The 23,615-nt window shown below is 45.3% G+C and overlaps 1 long non-coding RNA gene across 11 annotated transcripts in view, besides 1 other annotated feature; it reads right to left on the reverse strand.

Moving 5' to 3' along the window:
• Positions 1–23,615, reverse strand: part of LOC102724078 (uncharacterized) — a 187,103-nt gene that overhangs the window by 17,235 nt on the left and 146,253 nt on the right. For 3 of the 11 annotated variants that reach the window (XR_007064568.1, XR_007064564.1, XR_007064569.1), the window contains 2 exons: positions 9,408–9,493; positions 7,469–8,849 (listed from right to left, as the gene is read on the reverse strand). The exons of 6 other annotated variants lie outside the window; for them this stretch is intronic. This is a non-coding gene — a long non-coding RNA (uncharacterized LOC102724078). The remainder of the gene's footprint in view (positions 1–7,468; positions 8,850–9,407; positions 9,494–23,615) is intronic. 2 more of the 11 variants (XR_007064565.1, XR_007064567.1) reach the window with 2 other exon arrangements.
• Positions 10,171–10,672: an enhancer, noted in NCBI's record as "H3K4me1 hESC enhancer chr15:32475571-32476072 (GRCh37/hg19 assembly coordinates)". NCBI's record gives its function as "activates a minimal SCP1, AML or CMV promoter by ChIP-STARR-seq in naive H9 embryonic stem cells {active_cell/tissue: H9 hESC(naive)}" and the evidence as "EXISTENCE:reporter gene assay evidence [ECO:0000049][PMID:30033119]".

Raw genomic sequence — 23,615 nt, forward strand, 5'->3', positions numbered from 1 at the left:
CCGAGGACCTGTCTGCAGGGTCTTGGGGGTCCCTGCGTTGACCCAGCCCTCCCAGGTGACAGCAGTGGGCCAGCACAGCAGAAGCCACAGTTGTTGCAGGTGCTTCTCCAGCCAGTGCTGGGCCCAACACACGGTTCAGCCCTTCCTCTGGGCCCTGGGAGCCTGTGGGACAAACTAGTCGGGGCAGCATGGTGGGTTAGATGTAGCTGGTCATTGCACTCACGGGGACCCCAGTGAGTTGGAGAAAAGACTGACAGAAGCTTTAAGCAGAGCCCCCTGGAGGTGTACGCCTCAGGAAGGAACTCTTACATAATTTAACTTTTTCTCATTCCTTCATTTTTTATGTGGTACAAACCCTTCCCAACCTCCCTAGACCTTCCGTCTATCAGTGTTTCTGACCTCACCATGGATAGCTCCTTTTGTAATTACTGTTTACTTCATATGCGTTTGACCTTCTAATGCCATAGCTTGTCCTGAGTTGGGGAAGGGGTCTCAAAGTTATGGCCCCTGGGGATGCGGCCCACAGATTCTATCTTTCTCAAACTCTTTGTGACGAGACGCCCCCTGTGTTTGCACACAGCCCGCTTCGGGAATGCCACCTTTCTGCAGCGCTGCAGTTCCACACTCTTTCTTGTCTTCTCTCCACCGTCACGTGTAACATTTTGCACTGCTTTCTAAATTTCCTTTTTTTCTGCCAATGGCCTTCCTACCATTTCCTCTGCTGCTGTGTTAGAGTTCTGTGTGTTCACCTTTGATAAATACTTCCCATCAACAAATTCTGCAGGTATGTTTTCTAATTTTTAGTTTTCTGCTTTTATCTTTAATATTTTCATTCTATTTTACTTTTTAAAAATTATTGTATATTTTTAAATTTTCGTAAAATATACATAACATAAAATTTATCATTTTAACCAGTTTTAAGTGTACCATTCAGTGTCATTAAATACAGTCACATTGTTGTACAGTCTTCACAACCACATATTCCCAGAACTCTTTTCATCTTCCCAAATTGAAACCCTGTCTCTATCAAACATCAACCACTCTTGTTTTGGTCCTTTTTTTTTTTTTTTCTTTTTTTGAGACAGAGTCTCATTTTATCACCCAGGCTAGAGTGCAGTGGTGCAATCTCTGCTCACTGCAACCTCTGCCTCCTGGGTTCAAGCGATTCTCATGCCTCGGCCTCCAGAGTTGCTGGGATTACCAGAGCACACCACCAATCCCAGCTAATTTTTTATATTTTTAGTAGAGATGGGGTTTCACCATGTTGGCCAGGCTGGTCTCGAACTCCTGGCCTCAAGTGATCTGCCTGCCTCCTCCTCCCAAAGTGCTGGAATTACAGGCGTGAGCCACCACACCTGGCCTCCTTTTGGTCTTTATAAATTTGGCTAGGTACCTGATACAAGTGGATTCATATAGTATTTGTCCTTTTGTGACTGACTTATTTCACATTACATGAAATAAGATATCCTCAGGATTCAGCCATGATCCTTTTACTTTTTTTTTTTTTTTTTTTTTTTGAGAGGAAGTCTCGCACTGTCGCCCAGGCTGGAGTGCAATGGCGTCATCTTGGCTCACTGCAACCTCCACCTCCCGAGTTCAAGCAATTCTCCTGCCTTAGCCTCCTGAGTAGCTGGGATTACAGGCACCCACTACCACTCCCGGTTAATTTTTTTTTTTTTTTTTTTTTTTTTGTATTTTTAGTAGAGGTTGCACCATGTTGGCCAGGCTGGTCTCAAACTCCTGACCTCAGTTGATCTACCCGCCTCAGCCTCCCAAAGTGCTGGGACTACCAGCGTGAGCCACCGCGCCCAGCCAGTTCTCTTCTACTTTTATTTTGTTGTTGTTGTTCTAAGTTATTCAATAGATGCCTAATTCATGTGTTTCCAATTATTCTTATTTAATCAGATAAGTATTTTTGGCTCTGCATTTTATTCTGATCAAAGCTTTAACAGCAGTCCATACGTCTTAATATGCAATGTTTTCATTTGTATTTTCTGGATATTCTATAAGTTGAATTGTTGTACCTTCTTCAAGCTGACTTTTTAAATAAAGGCTAGTGAAGTGAAGCAGCAGTGGAAATGGAAAAGGAGCAAAGAAACCTGTAACTGCTTGTAATCAATTCCTTGTACACCCCACTGCACTCAGACCAGCCCGAACTGAGCTTTGTTGAGTGTTTTAAAATTTCCACATTTTTTAACTTAAAAATTAATTTCTAGTTACATTACCTTATGCTTTAAGCAAAATGCCTTTTGTTCTATTTCTAATATTTATAATGTGCTGAGGTGTTTCTGAGGGGTTTGTATGATCAGTGCCTGTGAATGGGTCCCTCTCTGAGAATGACCTGGGCGGGTCTGTGGGAGTTCCACCCCTGGCTTTGCTCACTGGCCTGGCTGGGGCCACGCTCCCTGTCAGCAGCATTCCTCTTTCAATCATCCTTCCATTTACCACAGGATGTTTAACGATTTACCGGATTTTCATTCTATTTTCAATACTTAACCTTGAATTCACATTTGTCTGCTTTTAAAATCAGCCCCACTGATTTCTTATGCTGAGATGCCTCTCTCGTTCATTCTTACACTCACACAACACCTCCCGTCTCCACATGTGTGGGGAAAAATCCCACCCATTCTCCAGCACCAGCTGGGTGTCCTACCGTTCAGCTCAACTCTGACACTAACTGGAGTTAGAGCCAGCCCCACAGGGGAGGGGCTCAATTCCCAGGACTGCCCTGCTCCAGATGCCAGTTGTAAGTGGTGGGTCTGCAGGTCACCCACAGCTTCTGTCCAACTTGGCTATAAATCGGAGGTTCCCACGCCCCCCTTCTTAGGTCCAGTCATTTGGTGGAACAGCGCAGAGAACCCAGGGCAACACTACTATGTTTATCCACTTATTATAAAGAATACAGCCAAATGGGAGAGAAATACAGGAAAAGATATGGTGGGGGTGGGTATGGAGCTGCCATGGCCTCTCCAGGAGCACCACCACGTGTTCCCCAACCCTGAAGCTCCCGCACCTGTACTTAGGAATTTTTAAGGAGGCTTCATCATGTAGGCATGATTGATTATTGATTCAATCTCCAACTCCTCTTTCCTCCCTAGAGGATGGGGTGTGGGGCTGAAAGTTCCAAGCTTCTAACCATGGCTTGGTCTTTCTGGTGACCAGCCCTCATCTAGGATTCCACCAAGAGTCGTTCATTAGAACAAAAGATGCTCCTATCACCCAGGAAATTCCAAGGGATTGGAAGCTCTGTACCAGGAACCCAGTCAAAGATGCTCCCAACCAATATTAGAACAAAAGATGCTCCCAGTACCCCCATCACTCAGGAAATTACAAGGGTATTAGGAGCTCTGTGTCAGAAACTGGAGACACAGACCAATATGTATTTCTTATTATTTTATACTCAATTTTATGTTTAACCTTTTTGAGGCACTTTGTTTTAGGTTTATTTATCTTGGATCTGCACTTATATTTTTAATACATATTGCTGATATATTTGGTTTAATATTTTTTTCAATATCTGTAATTAATATTTCTTTTGCATTCCCTTTTGGATTTTTTTATTTCCCCCTCCTTCTGATTATGTGCAATCCTTTTGTTAAAATGAAAGATTTATTGCTTTTATGTGTTTAAGTGGTTACCTATATAATTTTACATAATTCAACCTATAGTTCATGATTTATCAACCTGACAGTTTCTATTAATTCTCCACTTCTCACTTCAAACCCCAATATATTATTAGTTATCTTTTTGTTTTTAGGTTTTCTGCAGGTTCCTTATACAACACTCTGTGATATGCTTTAATATTTATCAATTCAGAAGAGTATCTGTTGACTACTATTGAGAGAAAATTGAAAGATGTTTAATAGGATGGGCAATTCATTCATTTTGTGGTAATCTTCCCTTTTACCTAATTTTCATAGTGCAATTATCTTTGTTATTTTTACAAATTCATGAGTTATAACATTTACTTTCTGAAATTAATTTCCTACCATCACATACATGGTATATTTATTTATGCAAAATGAATTTTCCTTCTTTTTCCTCATTTTGGCTTGAATATGCAATGATGTGTTTTATTCCTCTTATTCCCTTTGGAGATCTGAAATTCTTCCTCTATGATGGTAGCTTTGTTATTTTTGGCATTGTCTATTCTGTTTCCTGCTATTTACAGTTCGGGTAGGTTTTTTTTTTTTTCTTCCCGTTCTGAAATGAGTTTTTGCTCTTCAATTTGTTTCCAAAACTCTGCAATTTACCTTTCATTTTGCTTTTCTATCTTTTAGCTCTTTTTTATTGAAATCGATTTCTTACTAACTTCTTACACAACATTTTGGAGAACTTTCTTGCATGGATTCAGTTATATATTTTGCTGCAGAATGAAATCTTTGTCTTTCTTTACAGACCATGGTCCACCCTGTGTTCACTGTTCCCCTGCAGTGCATTTGCAGGAATGCCTTGCCATTTATTTCACTCTTACTTTTGCTTAATTTGGGCAGCTCCATGTGGATCTTTAAATTCCTCTGAAAAAGCAGGTCTCAGCCCCTTTCAGACTCTGTGCTCCCCCTTCTTCCTGCTTTCCTGGCCTGGGGTTCTGAGAGGAAGGCCAGCCCCTAGGATGGACAGCCTGGGCGTTTTTGTCTTTACTTTGTTGCTGTTGATGTTGGTCTGTTGGTGCTCCAATACATCTTAGGCATTACCCTGGAAGGAGATCTATATCATTATTTATTGCTCTAATTCATGAAATTCTGGGTCTTTGGGGTGAGTGAACTCTTATTCAGCTTTCTCAGTTAGCCGCGTACTCCCGGTGAAATTTCCCAACCTCTCTCCTTACACCCTTCAACCTCCAGTCAGGACAGATAAAATGTCCATGGATTTGGCTGTTAGGGCTGGTAGTTGGAGGGCTGGTGGGAGCAGGAATTTGGTTATAGTCACATCCCCTTTCCTTCCTGCCCATAGGGAAGACACCTGAAGACCTCCTGCCTGTGACTTTCCTGCATCTGCTGAGATCCTTGGTGGGAGGCGGGACTTCTGCACTCATGGGCTCTCTTAAAACTTTTTCCCTCCAACTTACAACTTCCCTTCTCAATGAGCCTCACTCGAGACTGGCAGCGTAGGGTGGGGAGAGGGATCCGCTATTTGGGTTGGAGGGACACGCGGGGTGGGTCGCACTGATTCAGAGTCTGTCCTTTGCAGGCCCACACCACCTTCTTCTCTGTGTCCTCCTGGCTGCAGCGCTTTGAAGAGTGTGGCAGGAGGCTCCATCATTCTGTGTTGCTGCTGCTGTTTGCTATTGTTGCTTTTTTGGGCAGCGATATCTCTGATCCTGCCTTCCTCCACTCGCAACGCGTTGATAGTCACTGACCACATATTCAGGGCAATGGGTAACAATGGAGAGAGAGTGTGTTATGTCTCAGCACCAAGGCTGCTGGTAAATTATATTCCCAGTAATTTTAGAAGATTGTGGCAGATGCTTTTCACTTCATGTTGAAGCTATTCATCTTTACATTGAAGGACCTTATGAAGCTACAGAGTTTAATCTTTTTCCAACTATATTTGCCCCCTTTTCTTTCTGTGGTAAATGAAAACGGCCAAGAATTCGCCATTTAGTATCTTTGTATTAATATGAATAGTGTAATTGTTTTTCAAACACATTATTTTAAGCTGTCATTTAAGATAAAGATAGTCTTGGTGAAATCAATATGTCAGGGTTAAAGTGAGTATGTTTTTCTCCTACACATTTTGGTAATTACCATACAGTCACCCCCATCTGTGGCGTTACTTTCTTTTCTTTTTTTTTAGACAGAGTCTTGCTCCGTCACCCAGGCTGGAGTGCAGTGGCGCGATCTCGGCTCACTGCAAGCTCTGCCTCCCAAGTTCACGCCATTCTCCTGCCTCAGCCTCCCAAGTAGCTGGGACTACAGGCGCCTGCTACCACGCCCAGCTAATTTTTATATTTTTAGTAGAGCTGGGGTTTCACCATGTTGGCCAGGCTGGTCTCGAACTCCTGACCTCAGATGATCTGCCCAGCTCAGCCTCCCAAAGTGCTGGGATTACAGGCGTGAGCCACCACACATGTCCTGTGGTGTTTCTTTCTGTGGCTTCAGTTATCTGTGGTCAACCACAGTCAGAAAATAGGCGAAGACAATAAGATGTTTTGTGACAGAGACCACATTCACATAACTTTCATTACAGCATATGGTTATGATTGTCCTATTTTATTGCTAGTAAGTGCTGTTAGTTTCTTACTGTGCCTAATTTATACATTAAATTTTATCATAGGTATGTATATATCAGAGAAAAAACATATGTAGGGTTCACTACTACCCAAGGTTTCAAGCATCTACTGTGGGTCTTGGAACATATCCCTGTGGATAAGAAGGCACTACATTACAATATAGACTTCTGTTGTACTTTTCAAACATCATAATGCTCAAGAAATTACCATCCACTTGGAATTAGAATTTGCTGCAGTCCCAGCCATACTTCAGCATGCCCCCTGTGCCCTGGTCAACCTTGTTGGTTCTCTGGCTCCCGTGTGACCATATTAAACCCCCGCCAGCATCCTCATTGCCAAGCCCCAGGTGGTGTCTGGAGAGGGACGTGGGCTTAGTCACTTAAAAACACAGTGCCTCAAATCCTTTGTGGAAAAGACAAGTTCATGCTATTCAATTAGATTCAGAATTTCCAAATATACAGAAGCTCAGAGCTCGTCTATGGCATCAGGTTCCAAGCTTTTTTTTTTTTAAAGGTTAGTTCAAGTACAAAAGATAAGAGTATTTGTTCCAGAGACAGGTCTGGGGGACTTTGGTGTCTGGCCTTAAAGAGAAATTGTGAAGGAGTCATTTTGAAAATGGTGTTGGTGTGTACTGGGGCCTCAGCCAAAGAGACTTGGGCTCAGGAGGCAGTGGGTCAGCCAGGCAGATGGGGGCTCATCCGCGTGTCTGTGACTGGGGGAGACAGGGACCCTGCCATCAGGAGGGAGCAGGAGTGGCAGCAGTGGGGGCCAGCAGTAGGTGTTTGTTCCAGGTTCCCTGAGCTCTCCTGAGATTCTTCCAGACTCCTGGAAATAACTGGGCAGAGGAGAGCCAAAGCCAACTGGCTGAGGTCAACCCACAGCTGCAATTCAGATTCACATGGATGTGATCCCATTGAACTGCAGGCTGAGATTCAGTCCATTCACCTGAGACATGTGAGACCCCGTTGTGGTCTGAATTAAGATTCTTCAAATTTATATGTTGAAGCCCAACCACCGTACCTCAGACTGTGATCTTATTTGGAGAGGGCCTTTAAAGAGGTAATTGAGTTAAAATCAGGCCATGAGGGTGAACCTTAATCCATTCTGACTGGTGTCCTTATAAGAAGATGAGGTTAGGATACAGACACAGTCAGAGGGGTGATCGTCTGAGGCACAGGGAAGACAGCCATCTACAAGCCGAAGAGAGAGGCTGCAGGAGAAGCCAGCCTTGCCCACCTTGATCTTGGACTTCCAGCCTCCAGCACTGTGAGGAAATGCACGTCTGTGTTTAAGCCCCCAGGCTGTGGTTCTTTGTTGTGGCAGCCCCAGCCTCCAAGGCAGGCATCTGTCAGGTGCTGTCCCCTCTGCCAGACACAGGGGGTGCAGTCATGAGAAAGCTTATCTTAGCTGGAAGGAGCTCGTTCTTAGGAAGGGAATTAGGTAAAAAGAGAGTAAGGGCCACACAGGGAGGGATCCCAGCCTTAGACAATCATGGGAGACTTCCTAGAGTTGGTGGCGCCTCAGGTAAAATCAGATGAGGGGATTGAGGCCCACCCCAGCGACTTGCCCAGCCTCACACAAATAGCTGTTTGAACTGAGACTAGGAACTCAACATCCTGAGGCTGCTTTCGTTAACCTCAAACTTACTTTGTCCATTCTTCTTTGTAAATGGCAGGGAATGGAGAATGGCACCCTGTGTTTTGGTGTCTGCAGTGGAAGGGGGTGTAGACCCCTCTGGCTGGCTTGATTCAAAGTATCGGTTCCGTCACTGGTATGTGCTGTCCTCTGTTGCTATGAAAATTTATGGCTAAAACCATCTTGCTTTGAAAGGTTAACTTTTTTTTTTTTTGAATTGGAGTTTGGCTCTTGTTGTCCAGGCTGGAGTGCAATGGCGCGATCTCGGCTCACTGCAGCCTCTGCCTCCTGGGTTCCAGCGATTCTCCTGCCTCAGCCTCCAAAGCAGCTGGGATTACAGGCATGAGCCACCACACCCAACAACTCTTTAATACCATGATTCCTGGGACACTAGTGGTCCCTAAAACTGCTTTTACTTGGGGCATGGGCAGGGCATGGGCTGAGAAGGAACATCCCCCGGGCCTTGCAGTCACAGTTTCCCATGGGATGTTTTAGCGCGGTTAAGCGCTGTTTAGCGTGTTAAGGCACTGCAGCAAGAATAAGCATGCTGGGTCCTGATTCTGAAAACCTCTCTTTAAGGCACTCAGGCCTTGCGGTTCTGTTTTCTCTACACTCTCTGTGGTGCCTCTAGTACCGTGATTAAAAACAGTGGCCCCACAAACACGACCTCACCTTCAAATCCAACTCTGCCCCCTGCCGACTGACCTCCAGCACACTGCTCACGTTATCCAAACTCGGGTGTCCCCACGTTAAAGGAGTGACTATAGTACTACCTGCCAAGACACTGTCGCAAGGACAGCCCAGAACACAAGACGCACTCGAAAATGTCAGCTAAGTTTATTTTCCGCAGGATCAAACCTCACTCCTCCCACATAGGAGATGCCATCTTCTTGTTTTAAAGGCTTTATGACAAACAGGCATTCCTTTGAAGTTTAACAAATTCCTCCTGCCACCATGACAATGACGTCTAGCAACACATTCTCTGGTGAGAAAAAGGAAAGTTTAGAAAGACATTGTCAGTTGTCTCTTCCTAAGTGATATTTACCAGGACCCAAATACCAAAAAGCACAGCTCAGAAACACAGGGGCTAGGCCGGGCACAGTGGCTCACGCCTGTAATCCCATCACTTTGGGAGGCTGAGGCGGGCAGATCACCTGAGGTCAGGAGTCCGAGACCAGCCTGGACAACACAGAAAAACCCCATCTCTACTAAAAATACAAAAATTAGCCAGGCATTGTGGTGCATCCCTGTAATCCCAGCTACTTGGGAGGCTGAGGCAGGAGAATCACTTGAACCCAAGAGGCGGAGGTTGCTGTGAGCCAAGATTGTGCCATTGCACTCCAGCCTGGGCAACAGAGCGAGACCATGTCTCAAAAAATAAATAAATAAATACAGGGGCTTTGGCAGTGGGTCCAGGAGGCATCTGGTGAGGTCATTAGGGAGGGGTCATTACACATGGAAAGCAGCAGAGACCGTTTACTGAGTACATATTTGTTGAATGCTTTTAGGACATGAGATGAGAAGGGGGAGAAATACTCACGATGTGGAGCTGGAGGTGCGTGGGCAGCCGGTGAACAGTAATGGAACATTGACACAAGCCAGGTGGGACGAGTGTGGTGGGATGGCCTGCGAGAGGGGAGCAGAGGGGACAGGGCTGGGCAAGTACCCAGAGGCAGCCGCCTGGTGCACCTTGAGAGGTATGCATGAGAGGAACACCAGAGAGGGCCAGGGTGGGCAGGGTGGCGGTGGGCAGGAGGAGTGAGGGTGGGAGAAGGCACTGTCTGGGATGGGAGATGGGGGTCTTCGGGATTCCCTAGTGCTTTCCCTAAGAGCAGTAGGGGCGACTGAAGGCTCTGGGCCAGAGAGTGGTATAATTCAGTTGTTTTTAGATTCTGGAAAAAGAACTGGGAGCTACAGCATATTCTTTCCACTTCTGCCCTAAACTTTGTTGAGTCCCATATGCTGGGAGGCTGACCAGGTGTGGCAGTGGGAGCTGGATCTCCCTCCAGTCTTAAGGTGAGATGTAGGATGTGATTTATAGGTCAGATATGAGATGGAAAATGGCAGCCGACAGGACGTGGCTGATGAGGGAATAACCTGCTCAAAGCCTGGGACAGAAGGACTAGGAGGAAGAAATGTTGAAAGAGGGTTTCAAGGCATTTTCCAGGAGAGTATGATCTAAAGCATCTTCTCTATCTCCCCAGGTGAATGTTTGCTAGCGCTGCAGAGCCCCTCAGTCACTCAATCGGTGCAGACGGGTGGCAGAAACCACTGGAGTCATGTGAATGGGGACACTTTCCTATGAACAGTGGTTACACAGGCAAAGGCACCCGCCCCTAAAAGAAGTCAAAGACTTTTTGTCTGGAACCAAGATGGCCGAATAGGAACAGCTCCGGTCTACAGCTCCCAGCGTGAGCGACGCAGAAGACAGGTGATTTCTGCATTTCCATCTGAGGTACCGGGTTCATCTCACTAGGGAGTGCCAGACAGTGGGCGCAGGACAGTGGGTGCAGTGCGCCGTGCGCGAGCCGAAGCAGGGCGAGGCATTGCCTCACTCAGGAAGCACAAGGGGTCAAGGAGTTCCCTTTCCTAGTCAAAGAAAGGGGTGACAGACAGCACCTGGAATATCGGGTCACTCCCACCCAAATACTGCGCTTTTCCGACGGGCTTAAAAAACGGCGCACCAGGAGATTATATCCTGCACCTGGCTTGGAGGGTCCTACGCCCACAGAGTCTCGCTGATTGCTAGCACAGCAGTCTGAGATCAAACTGCAAGGCGGCAGTGAGGCTAGGGGAGGGGCGCCCGCCATTGCCCAGGCTCGCTTAGGTAAACAAAGCAGCCAGGAAGCTCCAATTGGGTGGAGCCCACCACAGCTCAAGGAGGCCTGCCTGCCTGCCTCTGTAGGCTACACCTCTGGGGGCAGGGCACAGACAAACAAAAAGACAGCAGTAACCTCTGCAGACTTAAATGTCCCTGTCTGACAGCTTTGAGGACAGCAGTGGTTCTCCCAGCACACAGCTGGAGATCTGAGAACGGGCAGACTGCCTCCTCAAGTGGGTCCCTGACCCCTGACCCCCGAGCAGCCTAACTGGGAGGCACCCCCCAGCAGGGGCAGACTGACACCTCACACGGCCGGGTACTCCTCTGAGACAAAACTTCCAGAGGAACGATCAGACAGCAGCATTCGCGGTTCACGAAAACCACTGTTCTGCAGACACCGCTGCTGATACCCAGGCAAACAGGGTCTGGAGTGGACCTCTAGCAAACTCCAACAGACCTGCAGCTGAGGGTCCTGTCTGTTAGAAGGAAAGCTAACAAACAGAAAGGACATCCACACCAAAACCCATCTGTACATCACCATCATCAAAGACCAAAAGTAGATAAAACCACAAAGATGGGGAAAAAACAGAGCAGAAAAACGGGAAACTCTAAAAAGCAGAGCACCTCTCCTCCTCCAAAGGATCGCAGTTCCTCACCAGCAATGGAACAAAGCTGGACAGAGAATGACTTTGACGAGTTGAGAGAAGAAAGCTTCAGACGATCAAACTACGAGCTACAGGAGGAAATTCAAACCGAAGGCAAAGAAGTTAAAAACTTTGAAAAAAATTTAGACGAATGTATAACTAGAATAACCAATACAGACAAGTGCTTAAAGGAGCAGATGGAGCTGAAAGCCAAGACTCGAGAATTACGTGAAGAATGCAGAAGCCTCAGGAGCCGATGCAATCAACTGGAAGAAAGGGTATCAGCGATGGAAGATGAAATGAATGAAATGAAGCGAGAAGGGAAGTTTAGAGAAAAAAGAATAAAAAGAAATGAACAAAGCCTCCAAGAAATATGGGACTATGTGAAAAGACCAAATCTACGTCTGATTGGTGTACCTGAAAGTGACGGGGAGAATGGAACCAAGTTGGAAAACACTCTGCAGGATATTATCCAGGAGAACTTCCCCAATCTAGCAAGGCAGGCCAACGTTCAGATTCAGGAAATACAGAGAACACCACAAAGATACTCCTCGAGAAGAGCACCTCCAAGACACATAATTGTCAGATTCACCAAAGTTGAAATGAAGGAAAAAATGTTAAGGGCAGCCAGAGAGAAAGGTCGGGTTACCCACAAAGCGAAGCCCATCAGACTAACAGCGGATCTCTCGGCAGAAACTGCAAGCCAGAAGAGAGTGCGGGCCAATATTCAACATTCTCAAAGAAAAGAATTTTCAACCCAGAATTTCATATCCAGCCAAACTAAGCTTCATAAGTGAAGGAGAAATAAAATACTTTACAGACAAGCAAATGCTGAGAGATTTTGTCACCACCAGGCCTGCCCTAAAAGAGCTCCTGAAGGAAGCACTAAACATGGAAAGGAACAACTGTTACCAGCCGCTGCAAAATCATGCCAAAATGTAAAGACCATCCAGACTAGGAAGAAACTGCATCAACTAACGAGCAAAATAACCAGCTAACATCATAATGAGAGGATCAAATTCACACATAACAATATTAACTTTAAATGTAAATGGACTAAATGCTCCAATTAAAAGACACAGACTGGCAAATTGGATAAAGAGTCAAGATCCATCAGTGTGTTGTATTCAGGAAACCCACCTCACATGCAGAGACACACATAGGCTCAAAATAAAAGGATGGAGGAAGATCTACCAAGCAAGTGGAAAACAAAAAAAGGCAGGGGTTGCAATCCTAGTCTCTGATAAAACAGACTTTAAACCAACAAAGATCAAAAGAGACAAAGAAGGCCATTACACAATGGTAAAGGGATCAATTCAACAAGAAGAGCTAACTATCCTAAATATATATGCACCCAATACAGGAGCACCCAGATTCATAAAGCAAGTCCTGAGTGACGTACAAAGAGACTTAGACTCCCACACATTAATAATGGGAGACTTTAACACCCCACTGTCAACATTAGACAGATCAACGAGACAGAAAGTCAACAAGGATACCCAGGAATTGAACTCAGCTCTCCACCAAGCAGACCTAATAGACATCTACAAAACTCTCCACCCCAAATCAACAGAATATACATTTTTTTCAGCACCACACCACACCTATTCCAAAATTGACCACATATTTGGAAGTAAAGCTCTCTTCAGCAAATGTAAAAGAACAGAAATTATAACAAACTGTCTCTCAGACCACAGTGCAATCAAACTAGAACTCAGGATTAAGAATCTCACTCAAAACCGCTCAACTACATGGAAACTGAACAACCTGCTCCTGAATGACTACTGGGTACATAACGAAATGAAGGCAGAAATAAAGATGTTCTTTGAAACCAACGAGAACAAAGACACAACATACCAGAATCTCTGGGATGCATTCAAAGCAGTATGTACAGGGAAATTTATAGCACTAAATGCCCACAAGAGAAAGCAGGAAAGATCCAAAATGGACACCCTAACATCACAATTAAAAGAACTAGATAAGCAAGAGCAAACACATTCAAAAGCTAGCAGAAGGCAAGAAATAACTAAAATCAGAGCAGAACTGAAGGAAATAGAGACACAAAAAACCCTTCAAAACATTAATGAATCCAGGAGCTGGTTTTTTGAAAGAATCAACAAAATTGATAGACCGCTAGCAAGACTAATAAAGAAAAAAAGAGAGAATCAAATAGACGCAATAAAAAATGATAAAGGGGATATCACCACCGATCCCACAGAAATACAAACTACCATCAGAGAATACTACAAGCACCTCTACGCAATTAAACTAGAAAATCTAGAAGAAATGGATAAATTCCTCGACACATACACTCTCCCAAGACTAAACCAGGAAGAAGTTGAATCTCTGAATAGACCAATAACAGGAGCTGAAATTGTGGCAATAATCAATAGCTTACCAACCAAAAAGAGTCCAGGACCAGATGGATTCACAGCCGAATTCTACCAGAGGTACAAGGATGAACTGATACCATTCCTTCTGAAACTATTCCAATCAATAGAAAAAGAGGGAATCCTCCCTAACTCATTTTATGAGGCCAGCATCATCCTGATACCAAAGCCGGGCAGAGACACAACCAAAAAAGAGAATTTTAGACCAATATCCCTGATGAACATCGATGCAAAAATCCTCAATAAAATACTGGCAAACGGAATCCAGCAGCACATCAAAAAGCTTATCCACCATGATCAAGTGGGCTTCATCCCTGGGATGCAAGGCTGGTTCAATATACACAAATCAATAAATGTAATCCAGCATATAAACAGAACCAAAGACAAAAACCACAAGATTATCTCAATAGATGCAGAAAAGGCCTTTGACAAAATTCAACAACCCTTCATGCTAAAAACTCTCAATAAATTAGGTATTGATGGGACATATCTCAAAATAATAAGAGCTATCTATGACAAACCCACAGCCAATATCATACTGAATGGGCAAAAACTGGAAGCATTCCCTTTGAAAACTGGCACAAGACAGGGATGCCCTCTCTCACCACTCCTATTCAACATAGTGTTGGAAGTTCTGGCCAGGGCAGTTAGGCAGGAGAAGGAAATAAAGGGTATTCAATTAGGAAAAGAGGAAGTCAAATTGTCCCTGTTTGCAGACGACATGATTGTATATCTAGATAACCCCATTGTCTCAGCCAAAAATCTCCTTAAGCTGATAAGCAACTTCAACAAAGTCTCAGGATACAAAATCAATGTACAAAAATCACAAGCATTCTTATACACCAATAACAGACAAACAGAGAGCCAAATCATGAGTGAACTCCCATTCGCAATTGCTTCAAACAGAATAAAATACCTAGGAATCCACCTTACAAGGGACGTGAAGGACCTCTTCAAGGAGAACTACAAACCACTGCTCAATGAAATGAAAGAGGATACAAACAAATGGAAGAACATTCCATGCTCCTGGGTAGGAAGAATCAATATCGTGAAAATGGCCACACTGCCCAAGGTAATTTATAGATTCAATGCCATCCCCATCAAGCTACCAATGACTTTCTTCAGAGAATTGGAAAAAACTACTTTAAAGTTCATATGGAACCAAAAAAGAGCCTGCATCGCCAAGTCAATCCTAAGCCAAAAGAACAAAGCTGGAGGCATCACGCTACCTGACTTCAAACTATACTACAAGGCTACAGTAACCAAAACAGCATGGTACTGGTACCAAAACAGAGATATAGATCAATGGAACAGAACAGAGCCCTCAGAAATAACGCCGCATATCTACAACTATCTGATCTTTGACAAACCTGAGAAAAACAAGCAATGGGGAAAGGATTCCCTATTTAATAAATGGTGCTGGGAAAACTGGCTAGCTATATGTAGAAAGCTGAAACTAGATCCCTTCCTTACACCTTATACAAAAATCAATTCAAGATGCATTAAAGACTTAAACGTTAGACCTAAAACCATAAAAACCCTAGAAGAAAACCTAGGCATTACCATTCAGGACATAGGCACGGGCAAGGACTTCATGTCTAAAACACCAAAAGCAATGGCAACAAAAGCCAAAATAGACAAATGGGATCTAATTAAACTAAAGAGCTTCTGCACAGCAAAAGAAACTACCATCAGAGTGAACAGGCAACCCACAATATGGGAGAAAATTTTCGCAACCTACTCATCTGACAAAGGGCTAATATCCAGAATCTACAATGAACTCCAACAAATTTACAAGAAAAAAACAACCCCATCAAAAAGTGGGCAAAGGACATGAACAGACAGTCTCAAAAGAAGACATTTATGCAGCCAAAAAACACATGAAAAAATGCTCACCATCACTGGCCATCAGAGAAATGCAAATCAAAACCACAATGAGATACCATCTCACACCAGTTAGAATGGCAATCATTAAAAAGTCAGGAAACAACAGGTGCTGGAGAGGATGTGGAGAAATAGGAACACTTTTACACTGTTGGTGGGACTGTAAACCAGTTCAGCCATTGTGGAAGTCAGTGTGGTGATTCCTCAGAGATCTAGAACTAGAAATACCATTTGACCCAGCAATCCCATTACTGGGTATATACCCAAAGGACTATAAATCATGCTGCTATAAAGACACTCGCACACATATGTTTATTGTGGCACTATTCACAATAGCAAAGACTTGGAACCAAGCCAAATGTCCAACAATGATAGACTGGATTAAGAAAATGTGGCACATATACACCATGGAATACTATGCAGCCATAAAAAATGATGAGTTCACGTCCTTTGTAGAGACATGGATGAAACTGGAAATCATCATTCTCAGTAAACTATCACAAGAACAAAAAACCAAACACTGCGTATTCTCACTCATAGGTGGGAATTGAACAATGAGAACACATGGACACAGGAAGGGGAACATCACACTCTGGGGACTGTTGTGGGGTGGGGGAAGGGGGGGAGGGATAGCATTGGGAGATATACCTAATGCTAGATGACGAGTTAGTGGGTGCAGCGCACCAGCATGTCACGTGTATACATATGTAACTAACCTGCACATTGTCACATGTACCCTAAAACTTAAAGTATAAAAAAAAAAAAAAAAAGAAGTCAAAGAGGGCTATCAGGTGTAACAGGCAACCATGTCAAGTGATTGCCAGCCCTGGGGCAGTGAGGAAAGGGCTGAGATTTTCCATTGTTTGATTTATTTCGAGAGAACCTGTCATTGCTGAAGCATTTTTAATGGCAGATACTTTAGAGCCCTTGTCAGATAATTCCAACATCTGATAGTTGGGTCTTGGCAGCAGCTGATCGTGGTGCTCATGCTGGTGGTGATCTCTGCACTCTTGGAAGGATGGTGAGTTTTCAGTTGTTTGGTGGACGTTCTGCCTGTCATGTTAGGTGACCTGGGTCCCCTGTGACTCTTTTGCTTTAGAAGGCAGTGACCTGTTTAGGTTTGGCACATGGGTCCTGGCCCATCTTGCAGGCTGTGGTTCTACTGGCATCTAATTTCCAGAGTCGCTGCTGTGTTGTTCTCTCCTGCTTGGTTTCTCGGGGGTCCTTGTGGCTCTCAGGATCCCTCCTGATGCAGGCTGAGGGGCAGACGGAGTTTCCCCAGGCTCTGCCCTGAGTGTCTCCCAGTGGGGCCCAAGGCTCAGGCTGTCTGAAGAAGAGGCTTGGATCCCCTGCAGGTGCCCACCAACCAGATATTTCTGGGTGGGGAGGAGGGGCTGTCAGTACACAAGGAGGGGAGCCACCCTGGGGCCACTTATGCGGACAGGGCTTCAGGTCCCTCCTCCGTCAGGTGGCGTCAGGCTGGCCTGGTATTGCCAGAGGGCCCTGTTCCATCAGAGCGGGAGCAAGCCTAGCTGGCTGCCATGGGTGCTAGGCTGGGGTCACCTTCTGTTGGTCTTGGGGCCATAAAGCACCCTGTTGCTGTGCCTTCCTTCTCCCCCTGGGGTCCCAAAACCAGCCCGCCTTCCTCTGAACACCTTTCGGAGTTCTGGTTGCCTCTGAGCCTGGTTTCTGGTTGTGCTTTGAGCAGCAGGGAGGGGCCTGCCCATCTAATTGGGACCAGCAGTGAGAGGGGGTTTCTGTGTCCCTGAGGAGAAGGATGCAGTGTGAGGGGAAGGTGGGCTGTCTGGAAATGCTTGTGGAATGAAGGAAGTGTTCAGGTACTGGAGAGATGCAGGTGCGGCTTGTGGATAGAGGCTGCCTAACTTAGGGAACTACCTCGCTGTAGGTGTGTTTGGGGAAAGTGAGTTTCCTGGATACTGATGGGGACAGACACAATCAGCCTCTTGTGGTCTCCCAGGATTTGGCTCAGTGGCTACAACACATCATTGCACACTTGAATACGGCGAGACCTGAATGCCTTTAGCCCAAGACCCTTTTATTACCTTTCCTTTATGCATCCTATAATTTGAACTATTGTCTCCACCAAATTATTCCTTCCCAGCATTTCTGGAGAAAGAAATGTAATGAAATATTATTCAGTAAAATCCCACAGTAAACAAGAACACACAGTGCTAACTTAGTCCTGGTGTTCATCAGTTATTATTGCTCTAAGAAGACAAAGGTGGCCCCTAATATGCAGGAGCTGGCCCGGTGCCCACAGCTGGGCCTTGGTCTCTCCTGATGAACATAAACAGTTCACTGAACAGGAACGGTCAGGGAAGCCACTTGGTGAGTGTGACGGAATAAGACAAGAACAAGACTGGCCAGGCGCGATGGTTCACACCTGTAATCCCAGCACTTTGGGAGGCCGAGGCGGGTGGATCACAAGGTCAGGCGATCGAGACCATCCTAGCTAACATGGTGAAACCCCGTCTCTACTAAAATTACAAAAAAATTAGTCGGGCGCGGTGGCGGGTGCCTGTAGTCCCAGCTACTTGGGAGGCTGAGGCAGGAGAATGGCGTGAACCTGGGAGGTGGAGCTTGCAGTGAGCCGAGATCATGCTACTGCACTCCAGCTTGGGTGACAGAGCGAGACTCTGTCTCAAAAAAAAAAAAAAAAAAAAGAACAAGACCATTATGTCATTAGGTCTGAACACAGACAAGGCAAGAACATGGTTCAAACCATAAAAGTGACTTAATATCCCCCTCTCCCAGCTCATGCTAGTGAGTGCTGCTGCTTTATAGTTAAAAGCCTGCTGCCTGGCTCTGGTCTGCCTTCTTCCAGGTAAGATTAACCCACGCATCGCATAGCATCCCCTTCTTCCAAACACCAACCAAATCTGGAGCAAAGCCCCACTTCCTTGAACGCTCTCCCCAGATCACCCAACATGCCCCAGTTCTGTAATGAGTCCTGGCAAACCCCCTCTGCCTGAGACACCCCACAGTTCCCGCTGGTGTGCCCTGCGTGTAGTCTCTCTCCCTCCAACAAATAGTAAATCCAACTCGTTCAACTATAGGCCTGATCCTGAGGTCTTTGGCTGGAGGACGTTTTCACTTATAGGATTCATAGGCTAATTTCCAGAGCTCTTTTGAAATTGGTAAAATAGTTTACATTTTCCACCTTACCTGGCCACCAGGCTCCTGATGGCATAATGTCAGGATTAAACCTTAGGATTTAAAGTCTATGATTCTGGAACACTCAGGATTTTAACTTTCCAGCTCAGGACATCCTTGCATTTTTTTATGGTGTCTGGTTAAGACTAGCAGTGACTTCATGAAGGTGGAAATCATGCATTCTTCATTCATTAATCTGATGATTTCACTACTGACAAATGAAAATTACCCAGGCCTTTCAACTTCCCTTCCCAGCTCTCCTGCTGTTTGACCAAAAGACACACATTCTACTGATTTTCAATGACTATTTATCTGCATTGAAAGAACATTTTTCAGAAAACAGAAAGAGACATTATAATGGGTATTTACCACTGGTATGTTCATAGAACGGCCCCAAAATTGTTAACTTCACATGCATATTAGCATAAAACAAAATAATAAATAGGTAAAATTTACTTTAAATTTCTGTTTACAGATTTTTAACAAAATGGCACGGAAAGGGGCTTCCAAGCCAGAAAGCCTTGGCACATCAGGTGAGCCTTTGACACACTGCCTGAGCAGCCTACGGGCTGTCCCATCTGGAACTGGTGCTAGAGTTAGGGAAGCTTCAGGAAGAGACCGTGGGATCTACGCAGCTGTTCTGTTTTTCCTTCCTGAGAGTGTGAGGCCGGGAGGAGACATCATCTGAACGTGCACTTCCTTTCTTTCTTTCTTTTTGAGACAGAGTCTCACTCTGTCACCCAGGCTGGAGCATAGTGGCGTGATCTCGGCTCACTGCAACCTCTGCCTCCCAGGTTCAAATGATTCTCCTGCCTCAGCCTCCTGAGTAGCTGGGATTTCAGGTGCCCACCACCACGCCCAGCAAATTTTTTGTACTTTTAGTACAGATGGGGTTTCACCATGTTGGCCAGGCTGGTCTCAAACTCCTGACCTCAGGTGATCTGCCCACCTCAGTCTCCCAAAGGTGTGAGCCACCACGCCCAGCCTGATTGTGCACTTTCTACAAGTGCAAGACCCGGCCCTCCTGGACTTCATGGTTGTGGTCTGTGCTCTTTGTATATCACAAATTTGAAGGCCTTTAGCCTAAGACCCTTTTATTACCTTTCCTTTATGCATCTTATAATTTGAAATATCATCTCCACCAAATTATTGTGTAATTATATAATTGCCACTTTAACTACTTCACACGTCAATAAATTTAAAAAGCCTTTAAGTGTGTATTTTTGATATGATAAAATTGTGATAGGGTTCTGGAAACTGTGTTCTTCAGATTTGGTGGAGGGGCTTGGGAAAAGGTAGGGCAATAGGTATTTTTTAAAAAGAAAGAAACTAAAAAACTTAAGTTGTTTATTTGAAATTCAAAATTGTCACTGCGTATCCAGTGTTATCTGCCCACCTGAGAGGAGGTAGAGTGGGAAGGTCATCACAAAAGAACCCGAAAAGCTGGGCAGGGGAAAGGGGTGTTCTGCATTAAGGAAGGCTTGCTCTGTAATAGGATCCAAAGTGTGTGATTCCTGACTGCCCTGCAAGTGGCTTGGAGGCTTTGGGCATCTCTCTTGGAAAATAGAAACTTCATGGATGGCTAAAAGAGACATGATAACAGTGTACATGGCAGAAGATCCTCTGCTGATGGGTTCTAGAGAGTCACTGATTCCTTAGGAAGATCTAGTTACAGGCAAGAGCCTTGAATAATCATGAGTCTGGGCCAGTCAAAGGAGGCAAATGCCCCACCTGGGAAAGGTGGCTCTCTCTAATCCAGGTGGTGTTCTGGAAGAAAAGGGAAATAAAAGGCCTGTGTCCTGCTTCTCCACCCGGAGGACTCTGCTCAGCCCTTAGGTCTTCTGAAGGGCTCTCCTGGAAGCCTACTGCAGCTGCAGGCCTGCAGCACCAGTTGCGGATAAGGGAAGATGGAGGTTGACAGAGGGGCCTGCCTCCTCTTACTTTCCCTGCCCTGGCCTGAGTCCTGTGGTTCGTGACTGTGCTGTCTTTAGTGGGAGCTTGCCAAGCCCAGCAGTGTCCTGGTGTGGATGAGAAATTACACACTCATCCTATTCTTAGCTCAGGGGCCTCTGTGCATTGAACTGGTTGCATCAGCTTCATTTTTACTGCAAAACCACCCTTTACAATAGGTCGGAAGTATGATTCTGGCAGACAAAGTGAGGACAAGAGGACAAATGGGGCCAAAAGGAAGCAAGGTTGGGATAGTGGGTGGAGTGACTTCTAGGGATTGGGAGGAAAGTCCCTACCCTTCCCTCCATGGGTCTCCTGACCTGAGCAGGCTCTGGGAGGACAGGGCTGCTCGAGCCACCCTGAGAACCTCCCAGGCTGAGAGGATTCCAGGACGCCCACTCTGGAGATACTGAGACCAGCTCTGGGGAACACGGTGCCAGCTTGAGTGCACCCTGGGCCTGCAGCATGGAGAAGAATTTAGCATCCCAAGCCCCCACCCCTGAGATGCTTCAGGTGGGGCAAAGTGGCTGCAGCAGCCTAAACTTTAGGTTGTCAGAGTGATACGGAGCTGCACAAGGCCAGGCACTGAGTGAGTGCCCTGAAAGTGCTGGTGGGGGAAATATGTGAGTTCAAACTACCCTTGAAATTTCAGATACTTGTCATCTGTAAATTATGAAAACGTGCTCCTTACTTTCTTAGCAATAGTGTTGCTTTTACATATACGTGCATTCCTCTCCTGTGGCTACTGTAAAAGTTACCACGAACTCGGTGGCTTCAAACAGTGGGAATGTATAGTTCTGGTGGTCAGAAGTCTAAACTGAGTCTTATGGGAACAAAACCGAGGTGTCTGCAGGGCAGGGCTGGTTCTAACTGAGGCTCTAGGGAGAATCGCTTCCTTGCCTTTTCAGCTTCCAGAGCCGCCTGCGTCCCGTGGCTCCTGGCCCCTTCCTTGCATCACATCACCTTCCCCCCGACTGTGTCATCACACTGCCTTTCCCTACTGTCATCAAGTCCCCTGTGCCTTTCTCTTATAGGAAAATTTATGATTACATTTAGGGCCCGCCTGGATGGCCCAAGATAATCTCCCCAACTCAAAGTTCTTAATCACATCTGCAGAATCCCTTTTGCCTTCCAAGTCACCATATCACAGGTTCCAGGGACCAGATGGTGGAGGTCCTGGGGGGACACTATTCAGTGGACCACACTGCCCTTTTCTCAGATTGAACTGGTGGCCTTGTCTGTCCCTCTTCCCCGACAGGTAAAGGGATTCAGGGTCTCTGCTCTTCACGACGTCATCCATAGAGAGTCTCTCTCATATACATCTAAGGTGATCTTCAAAATAACCCACGAACCAGGGATCATTTACAAATGGGAAACTGGGAAGAAAACTAACATTTACAGAGTTAAATAATTCAAATTTTAGTTAAACACTGCTATATACAGCCCCATTATTGCTTCATTTGACCCTCCTGCCATCTGGGAAGTATCTGTTTTTACTCCTATTTTGAAAGTAGAAAACCTGAAATAGTGAGGTCATGTAACTGATCTAACACTGCAGGTCTTGGAAATTAGAAAACCTGAAATTAGTGAGGTCATGTAATTGCTCTAAGACAGCAGAGCCAGAAGTAAAGGCACTGAAGTTTAAAGCAGACCTGTGATTTCCACCCCTTAGCTCTTCCCTGTCCCATTTTCCCCTGTCCATCACTCCCTCTGCACAGTCCTGCAATGGTCTGAGAATGGTGGCCAGTGCTGCAGGAGACCCATGGGTGTGCCTTTGGGGTGTGCATTGACAGTTTTCTTTGAATGCTTCTAGAACCACAAAATATCAGGGCAGAAAGGCATCTCAGAGAAAACCTACCCCAAATAACTTCTCAAACTTCAATGCACAGAACTATCTGGCTGCTTATAAAAAAACAAGAGTCTGTAAGCCCCATTCCCAGAAATTTTAATTTAATAGGTCTGCACTTGAGGCCCAGGCAGGTTTTTTTTGTTTGTTTGTTTGTTTGTTTTTTGTTTTTTGTTTTTTTTTTTTTGAGATGGAATCTTGCTCCATTGCCCAGGCTGGAGTACAGTGGTGCGATCTCAGCTCACTGAAACCTCTGCCTCTAGGTTCAAGTGATTCTCCCACCTCAGCCCCCCGAGTAGCTGGGACTGTACAGGTGCATGCTACCATACCCGGCTAACTTTTTGTATTTTTAATACAGACGGGGTTTCACTGTGTTAGCCAGGATGGTCTCGATCTCCTGACCTCGTGATTCACCCTCCCAAAGTGCTGGGATTACAGGTATGAGTTATCCGCCTGGCGCATCTACATTTTTAACATGCCCCAAAGCTAGTTTTGAAACAATTTAACAGGAAAGAAAGGGTGAGAGGGGTGCATTTGTCCTTTCTCACACTGCTGTAAACATATTACCTGAGACTGGGTAATTTATAAACGAAAGGGGTTTAATTGACTCACCGTTCCACATGGCTGGGGAGGCCTCAGGAAACTTACAATTATGCAGAAGGCAAAGGGGAAGTAAGCACCTTCTTCACAAGGCAGCAAGAGAGAGAGAGCACAGGGGAAACTGCCATTTTTAAAATCAGATCTCATGAGAACTCACTCACTATCACAAGAACAGCATTGGAAGTGATCCAATCACCTCCCTCCCTCGACACGTGGGGATTACGATTTGAGATGAGATTTGGGTGAGGACACAGAGTCAAACCATATCAAGGGGTAATACATTTTCTCTAGAATGTAGCATTAGCCTTTCTTTTTGAGGAACATGTTTGTGTGTTATGGAAGTTAATCACGGTGGGCCACATCATTGGAAAACAGCAAATACTGCTTTCTGGTTTTTGGCCGATTAGGTCAGGTGAAGAAGTTTGGCAATCTGGCTCTG

This window comes from Homo sapiens, chromosome 15 (genome assembly GCF_000001405.40).
Source record: "Homo sapiens chromosome 15, GRCh38.p14 Primary Assembly".
NCBI lineage: Eukaryota > Metazoa > Chordata > Mammalia > Primates > Hominidae > Homo > Homo sapiens.